Raw genomic sequence first — 25,526 nt, 5'->3', positions numbered from 1 at the left:
GAGCACCTGTAGTCCCAGCTACTCAGGAGGCTGAGGCAGGAGAATCACTTGAATCCAGGAGGCAGAGGTTGCAGTGAACCGAAATCACGCCATTGCACTCCAGCCTGGGTGACAGAGTGAGACTCCGTCTCAAAAAAAAAAAAAAAGACATAAAGTCCCTAAAGGTTGGAAATAGAGTCTTCAGCCCATTCCAGGTGTTTTGCATTAAAATATTAGCCATAACTCTCCTGATGACAATCCTGAGCCCACACCCTAGTGGGAGAGCCTGTAGGAACAGCAGGATGCCCCTCAACCAGTGAGGGAGACCTGGCTTTTGCTCCCTAAATTCCCTCTCATGAGTGCACAATTGAAAATTAAAAGGTTTCAGGAGCCAGGCACAAAATTCAAAAGTATGAGACCAGAAGGACTGCAAGAGCTATGTGTATTTTAAAGACATTCAAATTCAAAACCAAAGTCAGCAAAGCATCTCCTGCCCTCTTGCTACCTTAGCAACAATCCATAGAGCCGCTCTTGACAATCTGCTTCGCCATTTCCATCGCCTTAAGTCTGGGCATGTTCCTTTGCCTCTTCAGCACTTCAACTGCCTCAACAGTTAAATAAGGATTATAATACTCAGCCTGCATCTATCGCCAGGTGATTGAGATAATTTAATTATCCAATAGCTATAAAGTACTTTAAAACTATAAATCACTACAAAGCTGTAAGCAATTTAACCAATATCAAGCCTTCCTTATCTCTGAATATTTAATTTATGCTCTGTCTGTCTTAGAACTTAGGGATGTACATTCCAATATATTTTCCAAACTTCCACTGATAATATTGGTTGGAAAAAGTACTTTTTTCCTGTTGCTCTGACTTGTTGAGAGTACGGCTTCTGCAATTGTTACCCGGCTGCCCTGCAGCAAATCATATCAACAAATATTTACTAGCTGCTGAGCTAAGCCTTGTAGGAGATACAAAAAAGCATGAGATTCACTTTCTACACTAAAGGAGCAAATTGCCCAGCTGAACCACAGAACCTGTGTATTCTAGAGGAGGAAAAAACCGCCTGTGCTCCCTGGATGCCCCCAATATACCTGAAGCTTTACTTCAAATACAAGAAACAGCTGGTGTTTGTGATTTAAGGCTCAGTACAAATAGCAGAGAGAATTTATTTTACAAGCTGCCTGGGTTGGCAAAATTCCAGAATTCATCAAACAGAAAGATAAGGATGATGATGATAATGATAAAAATGATTCTGCGTAGTCTTTCTATAGTAACACAAAAGAAGTGCAATCTACATAGGACATTCCAGAGTTGGAACAGGCCGTCAACATTACCCAAAATTGATTTACAACAGGGCCTTTCCAAGACCTGTAAAACCCAGTGACCCCCTATGTTTGATGTGGTTGTGTTTGGAAGCTGGACCTATGAAGGTTTCAGGCAGTGATCCTTTGTCTTAATTTCGTAAAGGAAACTCGATACCTATAGAACCTGGGAAAGCTCCCAGAGAAAGAACCCCAATATTTCCAAACCCAAATAATAATAAAAATTACTTAACATCCAGCTAGTGTTTTTCTGTGATCTGTTGAGATCTTTGTTATTACATTTCATGAACAATCTGAAGCAAATAAGTCTATCACTTTAGGGAAAATGCTGAAGACCTGATTTATAAATGAATTTCCACCACTCAGTGAGAATAATTCTTTTTTGTTTGCTTGCTTGTTTGTTTTTGAGACAGGGTCTCACTCTGTCACCCAGGCTGGAGTGCAGTGGTGTGATCGTGGCTCATTGCAGCCTCAACCTCCTGGGCTCAAGCCATCTTCCCATCTCAGCCTCTTAAGTAGCTAGGACTGTAGGCACATGCCACCACACCTGGCTAATGTTTGTATTTTTTTGTAGAAACGGGGTCTTGCCCTTTTGCTCAGGCTGGTCTCAAACTCCTGGGCTCAAGCAGACTGCCCACCTTGGCCTCCCCAAATGCTGGGCTTACAGGTGTGTGAACCACCAGGCCCAGCTGAGAATAATTCTTTTATTTGTTTATTTTTATTTTTTTAATTTCACTTTAAGTTCCAGGATACATGTGCAGAATGTTCAGGTTTGTTGCATAGGTAAATGTGTGCCAGCTGAAAATAATTCTAACACATATCAAGAGCTTCTACTGCCAGGTAAATAACTGAATGCTTTAATATTCTCTTAGTTAATTCTCTTGATAAGTCATTGCAGATACTATCGTTATTCTTTTAAAGGTGAGAAACTGAGGAGCCAAGAGGTTATCTCATGGGCCAAAGTCATATGTGTCGGTGAAAAAGTTGGTCCATTCCACGGCTTTCCACCACCAGTGACCCAGAATACAGAAGTGGCTATGGTCTGCTCCCTGCCTTCAGGGGGTTACAGTCCAATGAAGGGCTCTGGTGTCAACTGGACAACAGCTAATCCCAAATATACCCCTCATTCTGTCAGCTACTTCACAAAGATCTTCTTTTGGGCCCCAAGAGAATTGGGTGCAACACCTGGAGGTGGCTCGGAGAAACCCATCCTCTCCATTACTGCAAAAAAGAGAACTCAAGACATTTTTCCCCATTATTGATAGACTATACTTTTTCCACCCTCCTTGATGTCTTACTGGTGGAAAATTCCCTACAGACTAATTTGATGAGGTATGAAAGCCTTTCAAACTTAAATGTGCTTCAGAAATTTAAGTCGCTGCCAGGCACGGTGGCTCATGCCTGTAATCCCAGCACTTTGGGAGGCCAAGGCAGGAGGATCACTTGAGCCCAGGAGTTTGAGACCAGTCTGGGCAACATGGAAAGACCCCATCTCTACAAAAGATTTTTTTTTAATTAGCCTAGCTACTCCAGAGGCTGAGGTAGGAGAATTGCTTGAGCCTAGAAGGTCAAGGCTGCAGTGAGCTGTGGTTGTGCCACTGCGTTCCAGTATGAGTGACAGAGGGGAGATCCTGTCTCAAAATAAAAAGTCTAGCCCACCTTTTTTACATGTTTTGAGGAAGTAAACAAAGAATACAGAGAATAAAGTTAAGAATAGTTTATAATACTATCTTCCCTAGCTTTCCAAATCTAGACGGGCTCCCCTACCACCCATCACTCTCCTGACAGCAGTCTGTTTTCTTTTATTTATCGCAGCTCTCCTCACCCAAATTAACTTCTTAATTTAGTTGTTTACTTGAGTACTTCCGGTCTTTCCAACTACAATGAAATTTCATGCAATAAAAGATTTGTCTTCTTCCTTGCAATAATAAAATAATAAAACTGTCTCAAGAGCCAGGTGTGGTGGCTCGTGCCTGTAATCCCAGCATTTTGGGAGGCTGAGGTAGGAGGATCGCTTGAGCCCAGGAGTTTGAGGCTACAGTGAGCTATGATTGCCCCACTGAACTCCAGCCTTGGTGACAGAGCCAGATCCTGCCTCTAAAAAAAGAAAAAAAAAACTGTCTCTAGCACATAGTAGGTACTCAATAAATGCATGTTGAATAGTACAATTTTTGTTTAAAATTAGTATCTTTGTAAACATTTTTAAAATTGGTTTTCAAGTCCATAGAAATAGATTAATTACAATCCATGGTTAGTGGCACACTCATCATTGATCTATGCATGGTCCTCTTTTTTTTTTTTTTTTTTTTTTTTTGAGACAGAGTCTCGCCGAGTCACCCAGTCTGGAGTGCAGTGGCATGATCTCCGCTTACTGGAAGCTCCACCTCCTGGGTTCACGCCATTCTCCTGCCTCAGCCTCCCTAGTAGCTGGGACTACAGGTGCCCGCCACCACACCTGGCTAATTTTTTTTCTATTTTTTTTTAGTAGAGACGGGGTTTCACCGTGTTAGCCAGGATGGTCTCGATCTCCTGACCTCGTGATCTGCCTGCCTCGGCCTACCAAAGTGCTGGGATTACAGGCGTGAGCCACCATGCCCAGCCGCATGGTCCTCTTTTAATTATTTATTTAGCTACTTAATTAGGTTTTTAAAAAAATCATATAATAGGCTGAGTGCAGTGGCTCACACCTGTAATCCCAGCACTTTGGGAGGCCAAGGCAGGAGAATTACTTGAGGCCAAGGGTTCAAGACTGACCTAAGCTACATAGGGAGACCCTTGTCTCTACTTTAAAAAAAAAAATCACGTAATAAACACCTGAAAAAGCAGAATCTAAGACAAAAGCTAAGCTTTGTCCTCTAACCATAGGGCCCTGTCCCTCTCTCATCCTCTACCTCTCCCCATTTGAAGGAATCATCATTCAGGAATCCCAGGTTCTCCATTTCCTGTTGTCTTAGTCTTCCTAAAAGCAGAACGCAAGATGGAGATTCTTATGCAAGTGATATGAAGGGGAGTTGTCTCAGGAGGAGAGTGAGGAAAACAGGTGGGGCAGGAAAAAAAGCTAAGCAAGGATGACTTGCCTGAAATCATCTGGAGCTCTAGCCCGACCCCATGGGAGCTCTGGAACACTTGTTGCGCCAAAGTGTTGATCCCACCTTGAAGCAAAGAGCTAGCTGTGTGTACGCCTGAGCCAGTCTGTCATGGGTGGACATTTGGGATGATGGTAAAAGAAAAGACAGGTGCACAGCCTCCTGGGTGAGGCAACCCCCATTTGGCCAAGAGCAATTCTTTAGAGAGGGATGTAGCCCTGAACATTGGCAGCCAATACTTAACAGCCACTGGGATCTGTGCATTCAGCCAGGAAGCGGGGTCTGGATATGTCCACTATGGCTTGCTTCTCTCTTTATATAGTTTCATCAAAATTTGTATATCTTCTATAAAAGTATGCATACATTTTTTTTCAGGTGTTTGGATCTTTCTAGAAGGGAAATCATACTAAATTTTGTTTTGACTGTTGTATAATATCTCAGTATGTGAATGTACCATACCTTTTTCACCCATTCTCCCACTGATGGTATTCTGAGTTATTTTTAGGTTTTTACTATTGTGAACAATGTTGCTGTGAACATTCTTGCCTATGTCTCCTGCTGTACAATTGCAAGAATTTCTTGAGGCCATGCCTAAGGTGGAATAGCTGGATCATAAGGTGTAAACTTGAGAAGATGTCAAACTGTTTTGTAAAGTAGTTTTACTAATTCAGCTGCCCACCAATAAGGTATGAGACTCTGCCATTCACATCCTCTCCAACTTTTTGATTTTTGTAAATTGAATGAGTATAAAATGGCATCTCATTGCAGTCTTGATTTGTGTGTCCTCAATCACTAATCATCCTTTCATATGTTGATCAGATATATCTGCTTCTTCTTTTTTTTTTTTTTTTTTTTTTTGGAGACAGGGTCTTACTCTGTCACCAAGGCTGAAGTGCAGTGGTTTGATCATAATTCACTACAGCCTCAAACTCCTGGGCTCAAGCAATCCTCCCACCTCAGCCTCCCAAGTAGCTGGGACTACAGGTGCACACCACCACACCCAGATAATCTTTTTCCTTTTCTTATAGAGACATTGGGGGCGGGGTCTTACTATGTTGCTGAAGCTGGTCTCAAACTCCTGGGCTCAAGTGATCCTTCCACCTCAGCTTCCTGAGTAGCTGAAACTATAGGTGCTTGCCACCACACTCAGCTAATTTTTTATTTTTATTTTGTTTTTATTTTTGTTGAAACAATGTCTCACTTTGTTGCCCAGGTTGGTCTCTAACTCCTGGGCTCAGGCAATCTTCCCACCTCGGCCTCCCAGAGTGTTGGGATTATAGGGATGTGCCACCATGCACGGCCTGTGCTTCCTCTTATGTGAAATGCTTCGTTATACCTTTGGTGCATTTTTCTATTGGGTTATCTGTGCTTTCTTTATTGATTTGTTGAAGTTCTTCATACATTCTTTGTCTGTTGTTTGTATTAGAAATATGGTGAACATCCTCTCCTGGCCTTTAACTTGTTTTCTCCGTTTCTATATCTTTTAATGAACAAAAGCTCTAATTTCATTATAGTATCTGGCATTTATGTCTCGTTTAAGCAGTCTTTCCCTTGGCCGGGTGTGGTGGCTCACATCTGTAATCCCAGCACTTTGGGAGGCCAAGGTTGGAGGATTGCTTGAGGCCAGGAGTTCAAGACCAGCCTGGGCAACATAGCAAGGCCCCATCTCTCTATAGAAAGAAATAATAATAAAATTTTAAAATAAATCTTTCCCTTAAGGAATCTGAAGGATAATCTGAGTCTGAGGGGAGTGATCACAATTAGGCCCAGGTCAGAGGCCAGTCACAGAGGCAAGCTTGTTTATGCTTACCGAGGCACAGCATAACTGTCTGAGGCAGTCCTGACCAGCCAGCACAAGCGGCCAGCTGGCTGACTGGCAGGTGTGCTCTGGCTATAGAACTGGATATATCATGCTATTAGAGCTGGGTGCTATTAAAAAGTCTAATCATAGACTTTAATTAACTTTCCTTGCTCTGACGCCCGCTCACTAAGCAACCTTCTGATTATAATTTGGCTTCCCATGTATCTTGCCTACAGGGAGAGAATGTACTGCTCAGGCCGACGTGAGGATCCAATCCACTCACCGGTTACATGCCACGATGTAAATTAATAAATTCGCATTCTGATTTTATCATCTGCCTCATCTGAGGTCTGTAGGCGTGAGTCAGCATCCCCTAGTTTAATCAACATGGACACTGAGACTATCAAGCTTTTGAGCTGAAAAGCTAAGAATTAGACCCAGGACCAGAGTGAAATCACCAAGGTAACATTGCCCTGGAGGCCCCTTGGCCTGATGAAGGAGGACTTCTTACATGTCATGCGATACAGACAGGGATTAAAGTCGACTTCTGACATTATAAAGAGTTGCATATTCAAAACTATAGCTTGGTTCCATTCAGGTGAAGGCAAAGAATAGGAGATGATCATGAAACTCACATTGAATATTTATTGGCTTATAAGCACACACCAGATGCTGTACAAATCCTAGGCAGGAGGTTAAGATTTACAGACATGTTTGGTAAAAGCAAAAAAACAAAAACAAAACAACAACAAAAGGACAGATGGTACGTGCTGAGGTGAAATGAAACAAGAGGCAGCTGGTTGATGAATTCTTGCTCTACTTAGGAACTTGTGGTCCAGGATACAAAATAGACAGACACACACACACAAACACACACACACACACACACACACACACACACACACACACAAACCAGGACAAGGAAACACAGGATACACCACAGCACAAATGGGAATGTGCCAGGGCAGTGAGATTATCCAGGCCAGATGAGTGATTTAGGACCTGTAAGATGAGGCCTAGATCTTTGAAGTGAGTTCAAAAGGCAAAGAGGAGGTAAGCCCATTAGGACAGATGGGGATAATTTCACCATCCTGCAATTTAGATGGTCACTTCACCCAGCCTTCCTGGGCACAGTACCTACAGTGACACAGATCCCCTCCCGCCATCCTGGTCACACTGAATAACAAAGGGAAGAGAGGAGTAAGAACTGTAGTATCTAGAAATTCTCAGCACAGTGAAGGAAAGTGATCTTCTACTTTGTATTCAGGCCTAAAAAAGGAGGGGACGGGCCCGGCACAGTGGCTCACACCTGTAATCCCAGCACTCTGGGAGGCCAAGGAGGGCAGATCACCTGAGGTTGGGAGTTTGAGACCAGCCTGACCAACATGGAGAAACCCTGTCTCTACTAAAAACACAAAATTAGCCAGGCATGGTGGCATGCGCCTATAAACCAAGCTACTCAAGAGGCTGAGGCAGGAGAATTGCTTGAACCCAGGAGGCAGAGGTTGTGGTGAGCCAAGATCGAGCCATCACACTCCAGCCTGGGCAACAAGAGCAAAACTCTGTCTCAAAAAAAAAAAAACAGGAGAGGAGGGAGGGAGAGACCTTCACTGATATCCCTACAAGATTTGCTGCTCAAAGGAAAATATTTTCCAGGAAGACTGCGAGAAATTAAAGGAAATTCTACATCATCTTTGAGACCCACCTAAAGACAAGTGGTGTCTCCCACAGTGCCACCAGAGCAAGGTCACTGGCTTGGCTAGATGTGGATGAGGGTAGAGAATCATCTCAGATGTTCTTTGGTTCTAAAAATGAGGTAGAGAGAGACATGCCACCCAGGAAGGGGTGATGCTGAGTGCAGCCGCCCAGCCAGCAGGGTGGAAGGAGAAACAGACAAAAGGCTCATCAAAAACAGCAGGACCAAAATTGAGCAGGCTGGCAGAACCAGTTCTTGCAGGGACACTGCCAGGACACACGACTCCAGGGAGCTGGCTGGAGAGGGGCAGGCCTGTGTGCTCCACAAACCCAGAGGGCTCTGACTCACACAGGTAGGAAAGAGCTCCTTTAACAATGGCCTCAGTGCGTGCACGTGTGGGTACAAATAAATGTAGACAGAGCAGAGCCATCGCCTAGTAGAGGTTGTCCCGCACATGCTCCATGATGGTCTTCAGCCCCAGCCACGTCTCCTCTGCAGTGGGGATGATCTGGTTAGCTGGCAGGAGGAAGCCATAGGTCCCGGTATCTCTCAACTCAAATGTGAATGCAAATTTGATGCCGTTGTCATATGCCCAGTCGATGCTGCTCCCGCTAGCTGGATCTGTAAGTCGGAGGACAAAACACTCTTGAAGCCCAGTTCCCTCCTGGGTTAGATGGGAAGGGGCCAAGAGCTCTGCCTGCCTGGGGTTCCTTAAGGAATCCAGAGTTTGCTCCTCAAGTCATCAGTCCTATGACAAAATCATCAGCCTGATCCCTATGTCTCAGGACATCCTGCATTGGCCTGAGGTGCACACTGGTCTCAAATCAAGAGATCTGAAACCCCTACTCCCACCTTATTACTAACGCTGTGTCCGTCCTGTAAGTCCCTCAAAACCAATCTCTATAGAGAGTATAGTAGGCAGCCTCCAAGATAGCCCCAATGATACTTGGATCCCACAAGTCAGGTCTTTGTGCAGCTCCCTCCTACATTAAATAGGGCTGACCTCACTAGTGTAACTGACAGGATGCTGCAGAAATGAAGCTGTCTGACTTTCAAGGCCAGGTCATAAAAGACACTGTGGCTTCTGCCTTGCTGTCTCTTGGATTACTCACTCTGGATAAGCCAGCTGTCATGGTGTAAGGACATTCAAGCAGGCCTCTACAGAGATTCATGATAGTGAGGAACTGAGGTAGTGAATGAAAAATGCAAGCTGATATGGTTTGGCTGTGTCCCCACCCAAATCTCATCTTGAATTGTAGCTCCCATAATTCTCATGTGTTGTGGGAGGGACCCAGTGGGAGATAATTGAATCATGGGAGTGGTTTCCCCCATACTGTTCTCGTGGTAGTGAATAAGTCTCATGAGATCTGATGGTTTTATAAGGGGAAACCCCTTTTGCTTAGTTCTCATTTGCTCTTTGCCCTGCTACCATGTAAGACATGCCTTTTGCCTTCTGCCATGATTGTGAGGCCTCACCAGCCACGTGGAACTGCGAGTCCATTAAACCTCTTTTTCTTTATAAATTACCCAGTCCCAGGTATGTCTTTATCAGCAGTGTGAAAATGGACAAATACACAAGCCTTAGGTTGACTGAGGCCCTGGAAGACATCTTGACTGCAGCCTCATGAAGGATCCTGAGCCAGAGCCATCTAGCTAAACCATTGAATTCCTGCCCTACAGAAACTAAGAAAATGGACGTTGATTGTTTTAAGCTGCTAAGTTTTAGGATTTTTTTTTTTAACATGGCAAGAGATAATGGATACGGAGAAGGGAGCACAGCCCTTGGGACTTACCTTTGCCAAAAGGCTTATGAAGGGCAAGAGGTCCATTTTTCTGCTTCTTACCAGTCAAACCCTACTAGCTCAGAAATTGCCTAAGATTACAAAGCATAGATAATTTTTTCTTTTTTCTTTTTGAGACAAGGTCTCAGTCTGTCACCCAGGCTGGAGTGCAGTGGCATAATCACAGCTTACTGCAGCCTTGACCTCCTAGGCTCAAGTGATCCTCACACCTCAGTCTCCCAAGTAGCTGGGACTACAGGCACATAGCACTATGCCCGGCTAATTTATTTATTTGCAGAGATGGGGTCTTACTATGCTGCCCAGCTGGTGTCAAACTCCTGGACTCAAGTGATCATCCCACCTCAGCCTCCCAAGGTGCTGGGATTAAAGGTGTGAATCCCACGCCTGGCCTGGATGACATTAAATAATAAAATGATGTCAGTAGCAGCTACCATCTGTTGAGCAGCTACTATGAGCCAGGCATTATATCAGACACTTCACACTTATGATCTACTAATCTTTAAAAACTCATTGAAGTAGGTTTTATTGTCCTTGTTTTACAGATGAGGAAATCCAAGCTCAGAATGGATAATTCACCTAAGGAAATACAGATGGAAAATGGCAGAGCTGCAATCTAAACCCAGGTCCATCTGATAATAAAGCCCAGGCTCTCCTCAACCAACTTCAGATCTAGTGAGTATATTAACAAGCCTGTTACATGGAAATATGGGTCCTTTGGCTTTTCCATGGTTCCTGAGAGCTGTGTGATTCCTGAATAGCATTTGTGATTTTTCTAGGGATGCTTCCAGTGAGACTCCGTGCTCCCTCCCTGTGTGGTTCCCATGGCCTTTCTTTACCTCAAGAAAATGCAGAGTGAAAAGCAATGGTAGCAGAAGTTTCTAGAAGTTACTTATATGGCAAGTGCAAGTATTTCAGAACACATTTGAGATTCAGGAAGGAGGCAAAAAGGCTTCTGCTGAGCAGTCAAAATGACGAAGTTTGTAAACTTCACTTTATTTGGGTCCCTGCTGAAAGTCTACCTACTCTTTAAAAACAATAACAACAACAAAAAATGGGAACACACTATTAACGCTGTTCTGCACATGTATTTTTCAATTAACAATTGGTGAGTATTCCCTTTTAGCGCACATAGATCTACCTCATTCATTTAAGGGCTCTGTAGTGCTGCATTGTGTGAATGCACCAAATGTGTATTTATCCTGCATTCTCTAGGTGGACATTTTAGACACTTACAAGGGTTGGGGCTCAGAAAGTGATATCCCAAAGGCTGATGTTTTGACATGCTGAGGGCCCTCAGAAGCCGCCCCCGAACCAAGGTCCCTCTAACTTCTTGTTCCCCATACCTGCCCCACCACCAAACACAGGGAGGGACTGTCTGTCTTTGGAAATTTCCTCATCTGACCAAGAAAGCATCTTTCCAAAAGAAATGCAATTGTCTTAAACACCCTCCCTAGAGGTCTCATCAAATAACCAAGAAAGATAAACCACCAGAAGAGATGAGACTGGGAATCATCACCACACCCAGACAGACTTCATCTATTCTTCTGAGAGCAGCTCCAAGAGATTGCCTGGAGGACTTTATCTGCTTAATAAGACAAGCTTTGTTCCTGTACAGCTCCGCCCCTCACCTTCCTGTAATATCTGCCTCCCACCTCCCCAGTCCATACATCTCCTCCCTCCTGTATGAAAAAGGGTATACAAGCTTCTGTGCCCCATTGGGTTATTGGGAAATCATTCTCCTGTGATTCCCCTGTGCCATGCACACTAAAATAAAATTTTGTATGCCTTTTCTCCTATCGATCTGCCTTTGGTCAGTTGATTTTTCAATGAACCTTCAGAAGGCAAAGGGGAAGTTTTCCCTTGGCCCCTGTACATGTCTTTTGTAACTATAGATAATGCTGTCATGAACACCCTTTCTTCCCCCATGTCTGATGGGTAACGCACCAACATTGTAACAAAATTGGAGGAAGGCATATGTCACACATGAGCGTGAAAACCCAATCACCACGCTTATGAACTACAAAAAGTACATGAAACTGTGTTATCCACAAGTCAGATGAACCCAAAGAACTTGTTTCCAAGCCCTTCCTGGAGCAGAATCAGTGAAGAGGAGGGGAAAGGGTTGCTAGAGGCTGTTGGCCTGAAGCAATACAAGCTACTGCTGACAGTCTGGCAGGAGAAAGGAGACACAAAACTCTACAAAGCAAACACAAGAAGGAAAACAGGCCAGGATCATTTAGCAGAAGGTCCAAACAGTCCAAGACGGCAGAGTAGGCCTTTAGCATATACGAACTGAGGTTGAGAAGTACACTTAACCATGAAAAAAGGGGCTTAAATCTCTTCTCCATGCTCTGTTTTAGAAGGCAGAAGAGTGTAAAATCCATTTTAGAATTATTTTCCTCTAAAATGGCGATCTAGGAAAAGGCCCAGCACTTGAAAGGACAAACGTCGACTGTGTATGTAGCACACACCATAACCTATGGCGTTGGATAGAGTGCTATTATACAAAAATTGATTGCTTTTTTTTTGAAAAAACAAGGACAGACAAGGCCTATAAAGAATATGGAAGATGGGCTCTTAGAAAAGGTGGACATTTTGGCCGGGTGCTGTGGCTCACGCCTGTAATCCCAGCACTTTGAGAGGCCGAGGCGGGCAGATCACCTGAGGTCGGGAGCTCAAGACCAGACTGACCAACATGGAGAAACCCCATCTCTACTAAAAATACAAAAATTAGCTGGGGGTGGGGCACATGCCTATAATCCCAGTTACTCGGGAGGCTGAGGCAGGGGAATCGCTTGAACCTGGGAGGCGGAAGTTGTGATGAGTGGAGATCACGCCATTGCACTCCAGCCTGGGCAACAAGAGCGAAACGAAACTCCATTTCAAAAAGAAAAGAAAAGGTAGAAATTTTATGTCTCCTGGACAGCCCTCGGGAGAGCCTTCCTCCTCTTCTGTTGGAGCAATCTGATGAGTATCTCCCAGTTTTGGCAGTTTATACTGTGGAGGAGAGAAAAGAATGTGTCTGATGCAGGAGGACAAGGCCATTATTCAAGCTGATGTTTGACCCACAGGCCAGGACCCTGGTGACCCCCAAAGATCTTTGGAGAGGACGTCCTCAGAGGGCACCTACCAAGTCTCTTTTAACTGTCTTTGGCCCCTCACTCCGTTCTAATTAAGCAGAGGATGCAGAAACTCTCCAGGTGTGTTGTCTGAAGAGTTCCCACTTAGCAACACTAATATCAAGAAACCATGAATTATTAATGGATTGTTGCTGCAATTAGCAACACAAACACCAACATCATCTGATGGCATCTGAAACAGAGACAAGACTGTTGAGATGGAGTCCAGAGGAGGGCCCGGGGGGTGGATGGAGAATCTTCCTAAAAGAGGGGGTCTGAAGTGAAGCCAGTTGAGAGTGAGTCAAGTTGGAGGGGAGAGTGGGCGGAGAATTGAAGAGGAAAGAAACAGCAGCGAGTTTGCAGGGGTTCTGAGGGTGGATCAACTATTGAGACACTATTATAGAAAAGCCAATAGAGGGGAAAGAAGGGCGAGGTGGCTCACGCCTGTAATCCCAGCACTTTGGGAGGCTGAGACAGACAGATTGCTTGAGCCCAGGAGTTTGAGACCAGTCTGAGCAACAGAATGAGACCCTTTCTCTACAAAAAAAAATACAAAAATTAGCTGGGCATGTTGGTGTATGCCTGTACTACCAGCTACTCAGGAGGCTGAAGTGGGAGGATCACCTGAGTTTGGGGAAGTCGAGGCTGCAGTGAGCCGAGATTGCACCAGTGCACTCCAGACTGGACCAGAGAGTGAGACCCTGTCTCATAAAATTTAGAGAAATAAAAGGAGGGCACCACCCTAAGGGGGATCAGAGTTGTGCCTTCCATGTTCATACAGCCATGCATCACTTCACAATGGAGGTATGTTTTCATCATCGTGCAATGTACTTACACAAACCTAGATGGTATAACATACTGCACACCTAGACTATATGGCATAGCCTATTGCTCCTAGGCTACAAGCCTGCACAGCATGTTACTGTACTGAACACTTGAAAGTTGTAACGCAATGGTGAGTATTTGTCTGTCTAAACAAATCTAAACATACGAAAGGTACAATAGGCCAGGTGCACTGGCTCGTGCCTGTCATCTCAACACTTTGGGAAGCTGACAAGAGAGGATTGCTTGAGCCCAGATAAAGATCCCTTCAGGTATTTTCTTCTCACAGTCTACAAGATATGCTCAGCCATAAGGCGCTCACCTCCATCTCATCCTTTCCATCCTCTCGCATGCAAGCCCTATATTCAATACTCTTTCAACCTTCTATCTCTCTTCATATATGCTACCCCCCAAATCCCACCAGTCTTTTATCTTCAATTTTTTTTTTTTTTTTTTTGAGACAGAGTTTCGCTCTTGTAGCCCAGGCTGGAGTGCAACCTCTGCCTCCCAGGTTCAAGTGATTCTCCTGACTCAGCCTTCCAAGTAGCTGGGATTACAGGCGCACACCACAATGCCCAGCTAAAGTATTTTAGTAGAGACGGGGTTTCACCATGTTGGCCAAGCTGGTCTCAAACTCCTGACCTCAGGTGATCCACCCGCCTCGGCCTCCCAAAGTGGGAGGATTACAGGCGTGAGCCAACGCGCCCAGCCTCAACACCAATTTTAAACCCCAACCAACACTCATGCTCTGATCTAATTACAAGTTCTCTCACCATGTTTCACCACCTTACTTCCACTCACATAAAGGGAGCCCCAAATTAGTTTATAAATGGCAGCACATCAAAAAACCCTCCCTCCAAGCAGGATATGCCATCTTTAAGGGATATCATAATGATACCCACTCTCTCCCACCTAAAAGAGTTGTAGAGGCTGCCCCCTTGCCTTTGGGCACATCCTCCCAACAAACAGAATTAGTTGCCCTAAGAGCCCTAACCCTAGCAAAAAACACACAATTTATACAGCGATTCTAAATATGCCTATAACATCATCCATTCCAATGCCCAAATTTGGAGCAAGCAGGGCTATCTCACAGCTGAGGGAACTCCTATCATTAATGGAAAACTAATCCATCATCTAAAGGCAGCTTTACTTCCAGAAAAGGTTGCAGTTATCCATTGCAAAGGACATCAATCACATTTCTTTAGGGAACTGTGAGGCTGACTATTGAGCAAAACACGTCTCAACCAATCATCCAATTCCCCAATACCTATTTCCCCTCATACAACATATCCCCTCCTTTTATCCTAAACACCAAATATAGCAACTAGTTATGGCGGGGGCACAATTCAAACCCCCATACTGGTTGATACGAACCAAATTAGTCCCACCTAACCCTGAAAAAACAACGCTTTTATGAGATATTCACAATCTCTTCCACAGTAGCCATTTACCTCTACAACATTTCATAAGTTCTCATATACACATAACCCCAGATATAAAGGAACAGTTAAAAGCCATTTCCCATCAATGCTCTATTTGCCACAAAGCGTCACCTTATTCCAACACTAAACCCCCTTCTTTCCCAACCTTTCGAGCCAGGGGACACCTTTCAGGACAAGACTGGCAAATTAATTTTACCCATATGCCCCAGTAAACAAGGTTCAATTTCTTTTAGTTCTGGCTAATACCTTGTCAGGATGGGTGGAGGCTTTTTCCATCCAACAATCGAATTTCTATTGTCGCCTCCAAATTAATAACATAAATCATCCCCAGGTTCGGGGTGCCTCTTTCTTTTCAATCTGATAATGGCCCTGAATTCATTTATCAAATTACTCAAACACTTGCACAGGCCCTACTAATCACCTGGAAGCCACACATCCCCTATCACCCTCAATCTTCAGGAAAGGTTAAAAAAATGAATAACATTCTAAAAAACACCCTCACCAAGTACTCACTCCAAACACATACAAACTGGGTTACACTTTTACCTTTGGCCCTTCTAAAAATTCAGGCACTCCCACCTAAACCTCCAATGCTCAGCCCCTTTAAACTCACGTCCAAAAGACCACTCACACCTTTTGTTCCACCTCAGAGTCAAGCCCTGCCTCCACCAACCCCTCTCGTTTCCCCTCTTCTACATACCATCTGCCATTTTATTTGGGAATATGCTAACAAATGCCTGCCACAACCCGTAACTGACTCCTCTAATCCCTTCCTACACCAGGACTGGGATCCCAGTCCTACCCCCAATTCCCCCCCTCACACCTAAGTGGAAGGGACCTTACCAGATCATCCTTACTACACCCACGGCAGCAAAACTCCAAGGACTCCCCAGCTGGTTTCATTATACTTCTCTCAAGAAAACAGACTTCCCTTCACCACATACCCAAACAACCAAGTCTAAAATCCCTCAGCCTTCTCTTGTGTCTCCATAGGACCCACTTCCCTTCACCTCACCCGAATCCCGAAGAAAAAGGAAGAGAAATCCACATAAGCCGCTTACATCTCTTTCTCTCCCAAACTTTCGTCGCTTCCTAACCAACCGCATTACAGCCCTTCAGTGGTACTCTTACAGAATTCCCATTATACATCCTGAACAGCTCCTTACTGTGCTATGGGACCTACGGCTTCGAGGAACTTTCCAGGACTTTACTCCTACCCAAATAACTGTTTTCTCTTTTTCTTGTTTCTTTCAGTATAAATTCCCTAATCACATCAACCTCACCAATACAACCACTCCTAACTGCTCTCAAACTAGAACTCTCTGTAAACCTTACACGATCCCTCTTGCTGCAAGCTAACTGTTCCTTTGCTCCGGAATGCTGAATGTGCTTATCGCTGTCTTCCTCAGCTTACGCAGCTCTTCCTACAACCCTTCATGACCTTTTAACAGGAAACATAACCCTAATTTATAAATTCCAGAAAGGAGCTTCCTTTGTTAAAAGAGCTGACACCCTGGTCAGCGATTATCCTGCTTCCAGGGCCAATCAGGCCAACAAATTATTTCAAACCTATTACGACTCCCTACAACACCTCAAGCCCCAAGGCCCTCCCATTAAAGGGCCCATAACTAAACACACCCCCGTTTTACAACAAACCTCACTTTACTTTTCAGCCTCTAAGGAAAATTTCCCTGTAGGGTCCTTAACACCTAACCAGTGCAACCGCTCTCATTATTATTAAACACCCCTCTGACCACCAAACTAACAAAGTTGACTACCAAGGATCACCAGAAGCAAACAGAGCATTTTTGCAACTGGCTCTTTTCACAGCCTCTCCCTCAACCAATGCCTCTGGCCCAACCTGTGTTGTCCCTGGTGCCCACATTTTTCCATGGTTGGATATCAATAGTGCAACATCTGACTGCAGTATTGTGTAAAAAATAATTCTTTCTATATCTCTACCATAGTGGGTGTCTCCCTGGCCTCCTCCTTGTCCACCTGGAGTAATGAACCACAAGAAAGAAAAAACACCCCGTCTTTAATTCACTTGTTTTCTTTCCATATCTCCACCTGTATTTACAACGAAGTCTTGTTCTTTTGGTGTGGCACCAACACATATCTTTGTCTCCGCACCAACTAAACTGGAACCTGTGTCCTAGTTTATCTTTCTCCCTCCATTAAACTAGTTCCTCCTAATCAACCTTTACCCATTCCATCTGTCCAATCTGTTTTAAAAAAGAGGGCCATCCACGTCATTCCTTTGATGGAGGCCTTAGGTGTAACCTCTATACTTGGATTGGGAGCAGGCAGATTGGCCACGTCTTTAACATACTTTAAAAAAACTCTTTCAACAGAACTACAGGGTTCTTTAAAAAATATAGCCCGAAGCCTTATAAAAGCCCAAGACCAACTAGACTCCTCAGCTGCAGTCCTCCAAAATAAATGGGGATTAAATCTTATAACAGCTGAAAAAGGGGGCCTCTGCCTCTCATTGGGTAAGAATCAGGCCTAGTAAGAAACACTGCTGAAAAACTTTTAAAAAGGGCTAAAAAGCTAAAGGAATAGCAAAACAACCAAATAACTTCTTGGTTTGGAAACAAAATCGTAACACAGGTCATCCCATTCCTGGGCTCTGTCCTAATAATATGCCTAGGACTAATGTTCTTACCCTGCCTAATCAACCTTTTTCAAAGATATTTAACTGACAGAATCCTGCCCATCTCACAGACTACTACCCAAAAACATCTACAGACAGCGTTACTCCTACAGTCAATCTGAGATCAAAAACTCTCCGTGCCCTCCTAAGAAGGAAGTAGCCAAAAAGAACATGCTGCCCTTCATCCTTTTATAACTATAAGGTCTGGATTGACAGAGCAGGAGCATCACCATCTTGGGCAAATACTGCCATTTTAAGTTCCCCTTGATTAAAAACTAGCCCCAAACATCAGCCTAGTGGGTAATGTCAGCGTGACCAGGAACATTCCAACTCTAAGATAAACCTCCCCTCCAACCAGAAACATGCCAACCCCAAGACAATCTCCGCTCTGATCAGAGATATTCCAACCCAGGAAATAAAACTCTCCTTCACACAGAAACATTCTGAGCCTGCGATAAGCTCCCCCTCCCTAAACCCTTAAATACCCTTAGTCTCTAAGACAGAACACTCCTGACTGAAATCAGCCAGAAGCCCCTCTCAGGTTTATTCCCAGAATAAACCTGTCTTTGACTGCTAAGCTGCTTTTTGTGTTTCTTTCCTCTTTCTTTAACTCTTACAAGAAGAGGGCTTGTGCTGGAAAACTCCTCCTTATAATAACCATCAGATCTCATGAGATTTACTCACTATCATGAGAACAGCACAGGAAAGACCTGCCCCCATGATTCAATTACCTCCCACCAGGTCCCTCCCACAACATGTGGGAATTCAAGATGAGAGCTGGGTGGGGACACAGCCAAACCATATCAGATGGGGTCTTGCTATGTTGTCCAGGCTCAATGTTTGTCCATCTCCTTTAGGAAGATGAGGGAGTCTCCCCCAACTCCACTACCACCATCAGTTTACCAACTGAAAGGTGGGTTTCCCTTGAAAATGAAGGGATGGGCATGAGGAATTTTTGATATGATGTTGATGAAGGGGACTGCATGCAACAGCTGTCACCACACAGGCATGATGTAGTTCAGTCTATTACCAACAACAAAAACAATCAGATGACAAGTAAGTCTAACTTACAGCCCTCCTCCCACTCCATTTCAAGTTTCCTCTCAAAGTGCTTTCTAAATAACTCATAAATAAGCGAGTACTTACAGACAGTGGTGCAGGTGGGACCCACTTGGTACTCAGTGCCCGACACAGAAGCCAGAGCTTTGGCCGCAAGCCTCGCCACCTTGTCCTGGGAAGGGGGAATCCGTGGAGTGAGAAAAAATCGATCCTGAAGCTTGACCTTCCTCAGCTGCTCTGCTCTGGGATGGTTTGGAAGATTCTCAGCCCCCCCCGATTTCCTTTCTGGTCCCTTGTTTCCCCTTCGCCCAGTGCCAAGGCCCAACTGTAAACTGAGGGAGGTGGCATGGTTCCTTCAACTCCTTCTCCCACCACACCCCCAGTTCTTGACTCCCAGTTTGGGGGAGGAGATGAGGAGGGAAGTGGAAGCCTGTGCATTATGTACTCAGATTGGAAGAGATGGGGGTTCTGGGGCTGCTCACTGACCCACTAGGAATCTAGTAAAGGCACCACCGTCTTCACCTATCCTGAGAAGGGAGACGTCATGCACACATGAGGGAGGGCCAAATATGCTCAAGAGAAAGCTCTCAAAGAGTTGGGTGTTGCAGAGTGGAGGAGGAGAAGGACCGCCATAGGTGGATGATCCCTGTGTAGAGTGCCTGCCTGAGAGGCCGGGTGGGGGTGGGGGAGCAGAATCAAGCCCGCACTTTGCCGTGAGCCTGGGAGGGGCTGCATCTGCCTGAGGTTTAAGGGCTGGCTGTGAGCCTGGGCAGCCACCTGCAGTCACCCTCCAGATGCCAGGCCTGCTCCTGATGGCCCACGTTCTGGATGAGACACAGAGCACCCCAGGCTGTGGCCTTCGCCCTCCTTAAACTCTTCTTTCACTAGAGTGAGGATCTCTCCCCCTTGCCCACCCAGGTGCCACCCACAGTCCTTGGCAAGCAGTGGGTCCACAATACATGGCAGTCAGAAAAACAAGGGAGACGGAAAGGCGGGGCAGGCACGGTTCTGGGAACTCATAGCAGACACAGAAATAAAGGGCACTGTTTTCCTGTCCCCAGCAGATGACAGCATATCCCAAAGGGCAGGGAGAGAAGATTGGACCTTCAATGAAACATGCCTAGGCTCCTGGACCCTCCCTATAAAGCTGCAGAGCTACCACCTTAGCAGCGCCAGGAGGGTCAGGCGGGCCCCAGGCTGGGTGGGAGGCAGCTGTGACTCACGAGTTCCTCGGCATCTGGGGCCTTTTTGACTGAGTACCCATATGGATACATCAGCAGCTGCGAGTAGCTGTGCAGGTCGATGAAGCCCTTGAAATTCCCATGTTTTTGGATGAAATCTACCACTGATTTCACCTCCACTTCCGAATTGGCGTGGGGTCCATGGTACACTTCGGAGCAAGGGTTGTCGCTGGCTCCCTTTCCTGTTGGGGATAGCCCAAGAACAAACATTAACTCATAGTCCAAGAACACAGAAATGCAAGACGCTCCACCTAGAGAGGGGCCGAAGGTATTGGGAATGGGCAGGCCATGGCGAGACGGCCCAGAGCACCTAGTCCATGGTGGGTGTGGACTGCAGAGAAGGCATGGAAGAGGGAGGGTTGGGTGTTGGGTCTGCTACAGCTGAGGAGAAAAACTGTTGGAGTTGACCTTGCCTTGTACCAATAGCAGTTGTCATAAATAATTAATATCACCCTTGAGAATGAGTTGTAATTAATAAGTAGACTAGATAATTAATATGAATACCAATAAATAATGAAAATGACTCCATTTATTCTGGTGTCAACTTATTCTCTGGTTGAGATCTTAAAGGCCAAGTGTGCCAGAAATAATCAATTGTTGTGGCTAAAATCTCTTGATTATTTGACAGGTATTTAGAAACACTGCCTTCTGTATTACTTCATAATATAGTTCCCTCGGGTTTCTAGGGTGTGTGTGTGCACACGTGCATACGTGTGTGTGTGCGTGTGTGTGTGTATGAATGTGACTGAAACCACCCCAGTGGTGGGAATATCTGACTTAACTTTGAAGCTCTGAGTTCCCACATTTGTATCAGTTCCTTTCCCACAGTCATTATTTTCCCCCAATGGTTTGTGTGGTATTTCTATACAAGTAAAAGAAGCACATTAAAAACAAACCATCGGGGCCGGGCACAGTGCCTCATGTCTATAATCCCAGCACTTTGAGAGGCTGAGGTGGAAGGATCACTTAAGCCCAGAAGTTCAAGACCAGTCTGGGCAACATGGCAAAACCCCATCTTCACAAAAAAATACAAAACTTAGCTCGGCATTGTGGCATGCGCCTATAGTCCCAGCTACCAGGGAGGCTGAGGTGGGAGGATTGCTTAAATCCAGGATGTCGAGGCTGCAGTGAGCCATGATCACGCCACTGCACTCCAGCCTGGATGACAGAGCACGACCGTGTCTCAACAAAACAAAACAAACAAACAACCCATCAGTACAGCCATGGGACAGTGAAAGAGAACTGTCTGGATTTGAAATTGGAAGCTGAGTTTAGATCAGAACTCTGTTCACCCATGTCATCTTGAGATTGTCTCTGAGCTTCCACCGTCTCATTTCAGATCATAAAATTCACTCGCTAGGTGAGAAGAATAAATATGATAAATACCGGAAGGTACTTAGTACACAGTCGGCACTTCTGTGGAGGGTGGTTTTTAAATCGCTGGCACTCAGAGCCCAGGTCTCCTAATTCTCTTTCCCTTTCCATGACAGCCAGCTGCTAAGGTTCATATCTACACATCTAAGGGTACTGGAGTGGAATTTTCACAGCACAGTCTTGCCCTTTGGGGTGACAGTGCTAATTCCTCTCTTCTGAGTTGCTGCCAGGAGTCCTTCCGCCTGCTCACAACTTGCCCAGGCAGGGCTGGTAGGGTCAGGGGTGAAGGTTCCCCGTTTTGTATGTCTTAGAAGAGAGTGTTTTTAAAATATTAGCATAGATGGCAATCTCAATGTAAGATGCTCTGTCCCACCATTCTCTCGGGAAGACAGACATCACTATCATTCCCTTTCAAAATCACAAAAATATATTTTAAAAAACAACAAACAGTCCGGATGCGATGGCTCATGCCTGTAATCCCAGCACTTTGGGAGGCTGAGGCGGGCAGATGACCTGAGTTCAGGAGTTCAAGACCAGCCTGGCCAACATGGCAAAACCCTGTCTCTACTAAAAATACAAAAATTAGCTGGGCATGGTGGCATGCACCTGTCATCCCAGGAGGCTGAGGCAGGAGAATCACTTGAACCCGGGAGGCGGAGGTTGCAGTGAGAGTGAGCCAAGATCCTGCCACTGCACTCCAGCCTGGGCGATGGAGCAAGACTCTGTCTCAAAAAAAAAAAAAAAGGCTGGGCTAGGTGGCTTACGGCTATACTCCCAGCACTTTGGAAGGCTGAAGCAGGTGGATCATGAGGTCAGGAGATCAAAACCATCCTGGCCAACATGGTGAAACCCCATCTCTACTGAAAAAAAATAGCCGGGCGTGGTGGCGTGCACCTGCAGTCCCAGCTACTCAGGAGGCTAAGGCAGGAGAATCACTTGAACCCAGGAGGCAGAGGTCGCGGTGAGCCAAGATCACGCCACTGCACTCCAGCCTGGGTGACAGAGTGAGATTCCATCTCAAAACAGCAACAACAAACAAAACACTAAGTCAGAGCCTAAGGAGTGCTCCTCAGTCTCTCAGTGACGCAGCAACGGAACCAAAGTGGAAACGCGCTCCGTCCCGGCCAGCTCAGAGCACTGGTAGACCAGGCGAGCCCAGGGACAGCAGGATTTGAGAACTGTCTCCCCACCGCCTACCTGCAAAACTAGCGTTCCAGTTTCTATTTGGGTCAGCACCAATGCAGGAGCTTCCAGGATTTCGGGACCGCGTCTTCCTCCATAATCGGTTCTGAAAAAGCCACCAAGGAGGGGACAAACAACCAGAGGCAGATCAGATCACCGAAGAGGGCTAGGGTGGAGATGACACGCAGGCAGGGCAGGCTGCTTGCAGTTCTGCCAGGAGGGCCCTGGGGCTCCTAGTCCTCATTGAGCAGTTGTCTCTCCTCCTGCAGAGAGAGGAGTATTTCCCCTTCCGGCTCTAAGAGAAGGACTTCTTCCAAATGTACTGATGAGACCTTTATATGCTAGAACCAGTCAGATACTGCCTGAATCCACTGAATAATTTTTGGCTTTGGCAGAAGTGGGCAAATGGACACTATATGCCTCGGTGATAATAGATGTAGCTGGAAGCGCACAGCCCCTGTTTCTTGCTTGCCTAAAAAATTCCCCTGAATCCAATCAAGCTCTAGACCTGGCAATCTATGAACAGGAAATACAGGGGATAAAGGAACAAACTAAATGGCATAACAAAGAAGCCATCAGCCAAATTCAGAATGTGAGACACTGTACAAGACAAATTACTTGGCTTCTCCCCTAAATGAGTGAGACTTTTAAAAGGTGTGTGTGGGAGCTGCTGTAGAATAAAAGAGGCTGCAGAGACACAGCACCAGGTGCATGCGCAGACCTTGCTGGGTCCTCACTTGAACAAATTGACTCTTAAAAACACTTTTTTTTTTTTTTTTTTCTGAGATGGAGTCTTGCCCTGTCGCCCAGGCTGGAGCAGTGGCGCCATCTCGGCTCACTGCAAGCTCCGCCTCCCGGGTTCACGTCATTCTCCTGCCTCAGCTTCCCAAGTAGCTGGGACTACAGGCACCCACCACCACACCCAGCCAATTTGTTTGTATTTTTAATAGAGATGTGGTTTCACCATGTTAGCCAGGATGGTCTCGATCTCCTGACCTCATGATCCGCCCACCTCGGCCTCCCAAAGTGCTGGGATTACAGGTGTGAGCCACCGCGCCTGGCCTCGGCCTCCATTTTTAAGGTAATCGGGGGTGTTAGATGATATTAAAGAACTTCCATTATTCCTTTAAAAGTGATAGTAGTGCCATAGGGTTTTTTAATTTTTTTTTTTCTATCGTCAGTTAGAGATGCGTACTAAAGTAGTTTAGGGTGAAATAACATAATGTGTTGAATATGTTTTAAATACGTCACGAAAAAATGTGTGGGAGGGCAAGAGATGAAAAGATTTGTAAAATGTTGGTCATTGTTAAGACTCATGATAGGGAGTTCATTAGACTATTTTCTCTAAGAAGAAATATCCCCTGGTGATTCTCAGCTCTGAGGATGACTAGAAGATGAAATCCCAAGGAAGCTCATAAGGTGCACATTTGTGGAAATTCTCTCCAAGATCAGACAATTAGTGGCAAAGCAAGGAATTCAACAGTCTGCAAGCCCAGCCCATTTGGGAATACTCACTTGAGTTTGAGTATACACATATCCATCAGGATTGGCCACAGGCAACAAGAAAATATCCATTTTCTCCAAGATGGAGGTGATAGCTGGATCCCTCTGGTAATCAGATACAATCTAAGCAGAGACAATATGCTTGTCAGCTATCCCATGGCAGGATGGGCCATTAGGGCTGAACCATGTATCTTCTCAAGATGCCCAGCAACCAGCTAGAATGAATGCTCCTAGAACAGCATCCACCCTCAAAAGCCTCCCTGCCACCCTCAGAGGCTCTGCTCTCTGCAAAGCCCTCTGAGCCCTTCAAAGCCTGGAGAGACACGGCTGCTTGGGGACATGGCTGCTAATGGCATCAACTGCAGTGAGTCCTGGGGTACGTGCTTTATTCCTTCCTTCCAGGAGGAGGGAGCCACACATTGTAATAGTTTTTAGGAATTTGAACCTCCAATGAAGAGGGAAGGAAGATGTGTCCTCCACATGCACCCCTCCTCCCCTCCCAGCAGACTTTCTTTCTTTCTTTTTTTAAGACAGAGTCTTGCTCTGTTGCCCAGGCTGGAGTGCAGTGGCGTGATCTTGGCTCAACGCAACCTCCGCCTCCTGGGTTCAAGGGATTCTCCTGCCTCAGCCTCCTGCTGCCCTCCCAGCAGCCTTTCTAGGAGATGGAGATGGCGTGAGGTCCCCGAGGGTCTATGGGGCCTTGTCTGGGTGTTGCTCTGCTCCCTTTCTGCGGAGTGGACTGCTCTCAGAGGCTCAGGCCCACCTCTGCTGCATATCAGCTTGTGCACCACCAGGAACGCAATCAATTTGGCCGCAGTGAGCTGACCAAGGGGTTTTGACCATTTGCTTCTCCAATCTGAAAAGGCCCCCCAGCCGACTGGGTCTTAGTAGAGAACCCTCCCACCTCGTGCCCCAGGCCCAGCCACATGGCATGCTGCAGGGGCACCCCGGCACCATCAGCATTCCTGGCTAATACCACGCAGCATGACCTTCCTTGCCGTCCAGATTGCAGTGGCCTGGGAGATCCACTCTCGGGAATGGATGCCTGCATTCAGCCAAACGGCCGGCCGCCTCACGCCTTTCCCAGTGCTGAACTGCAGAAGGGAGAAAAGGCTCGAAAATGACCGCCTGCCCGCATCTCTGCTCACTTCTCCTCTCTCCAGCTCTCTCCCATTCATTTAATTCATTTAAGATAATTCAGAGATCAAATGTTCCTAAGGGCACCATCTATTTATCGAGCTTATCCGTGACTTGGAAGCTTAATTGGTTGGCTGCGGGGCCAAGCTGCAGCTCCAGGCAGCCTGAACCTCTCCAGCATTAGGAGCAAATGGGAGGGGAAACAACCGTTACTGTGTTTTATGATGCCGGTGCCATTAGAGATAATGTTATGTCTCTTGAAAGACCTCAAATGGTATCCCAACAGCGAGAGACATAAG

General features: G+C 45.8%; 1 protein-coding gene, 1 long non-coding RNA gene and 1 other non-coding gene across 10 annotated transcripts in view; 1 reads left to right on the top strand and 2 right to left on the bottom strand.

Annotated features, from left to right (window-relative positions):
- Positions 1-12,357, top strand: part of LOC105375503 (uncharacterized) — a 32,989-nt gene extending 20,632 nt beyond the window's left edge. For 3 of the 6 annotated variants that reach the window (XR_927965.4, XR_927967.4, XR_007060523.1), the window contains 3 exons: positions 6,431-6,656; positions 10,235-10,364; positions 10,469-12,357. This is a non-coding gene — a long non-coding RNA (uncharacterized LOC105375503). The remainder of the gene's footprint in view (positions 1-6,430; positions 6,657-10,234; positions 10,365-10,468) is intronic. The other 3 variants (XR_001745362.2, XR_927968.4, XR_927969.4) reach the window with 2 other exon arrangements.
- Positions 6,820-25,526, bottom strand: part of CPA4 (carboxypeptidase A4) — a 31,020-nt gene continuing 12,313 nt past the window's right edge. For all 3 annotated transcript variants that reach the window (NM_016352.4, NM_001163446.2, XM_047420438.1), the window contains 6 exons: positions 25,080-25,184; positions 24,103-24,213; positions 22,603-22,693; positions 20,014-20,213; positions 18,878-18,962; positions 6,820-8,511 (listed from right to left, as the gene is read on the bottom strand). In NM_016352.4, the coding sequence (NP_057436.2) occupies positions 8,324-8,511; positions 18,878-18,962; positions 20,014-20,213; positions 22,603-22,693; positions 24,103-24,213; positions 25,080-25,184 (780 nt within the window). In that variant the 3' untranslated portion in view covers positions 6,820-8,323. The remainder of the gene's footprint in view (positions 8,512-18,877; positions 18,963-20,013; positions 20,214-22,602; positions 22,694-24,102; positions 24,214-25,079; positions 25,185-25,526) is intronic.
- On the bottom strand, positions 11,618-11,721 carry LOC124901842 (small nucleolar RNA U13). Its single transcript, XR_007060677.1, has one exon. It is a non-coding gene; the product is annotated as a small nucleolar RNA U13 (small nucleolar RNA).

The sequence above is a fragment of the Homo sapiens genome, chromosome 7 (assembly GCF_000001405.40).
Source record: "Homo sapiens chromosome 7, GRCh38.p14 Primary Assembly".
Lineage (NCBI taxonomy): Eukaryota > Metazoa > Chordata > Mammalia > Primates > Hominidae > Homo > Homo sapiens.
Note: the sequence above shows the minus strand (reverse complement) of the source record. Positions and strands in the feature narration are given on the sequence as shown.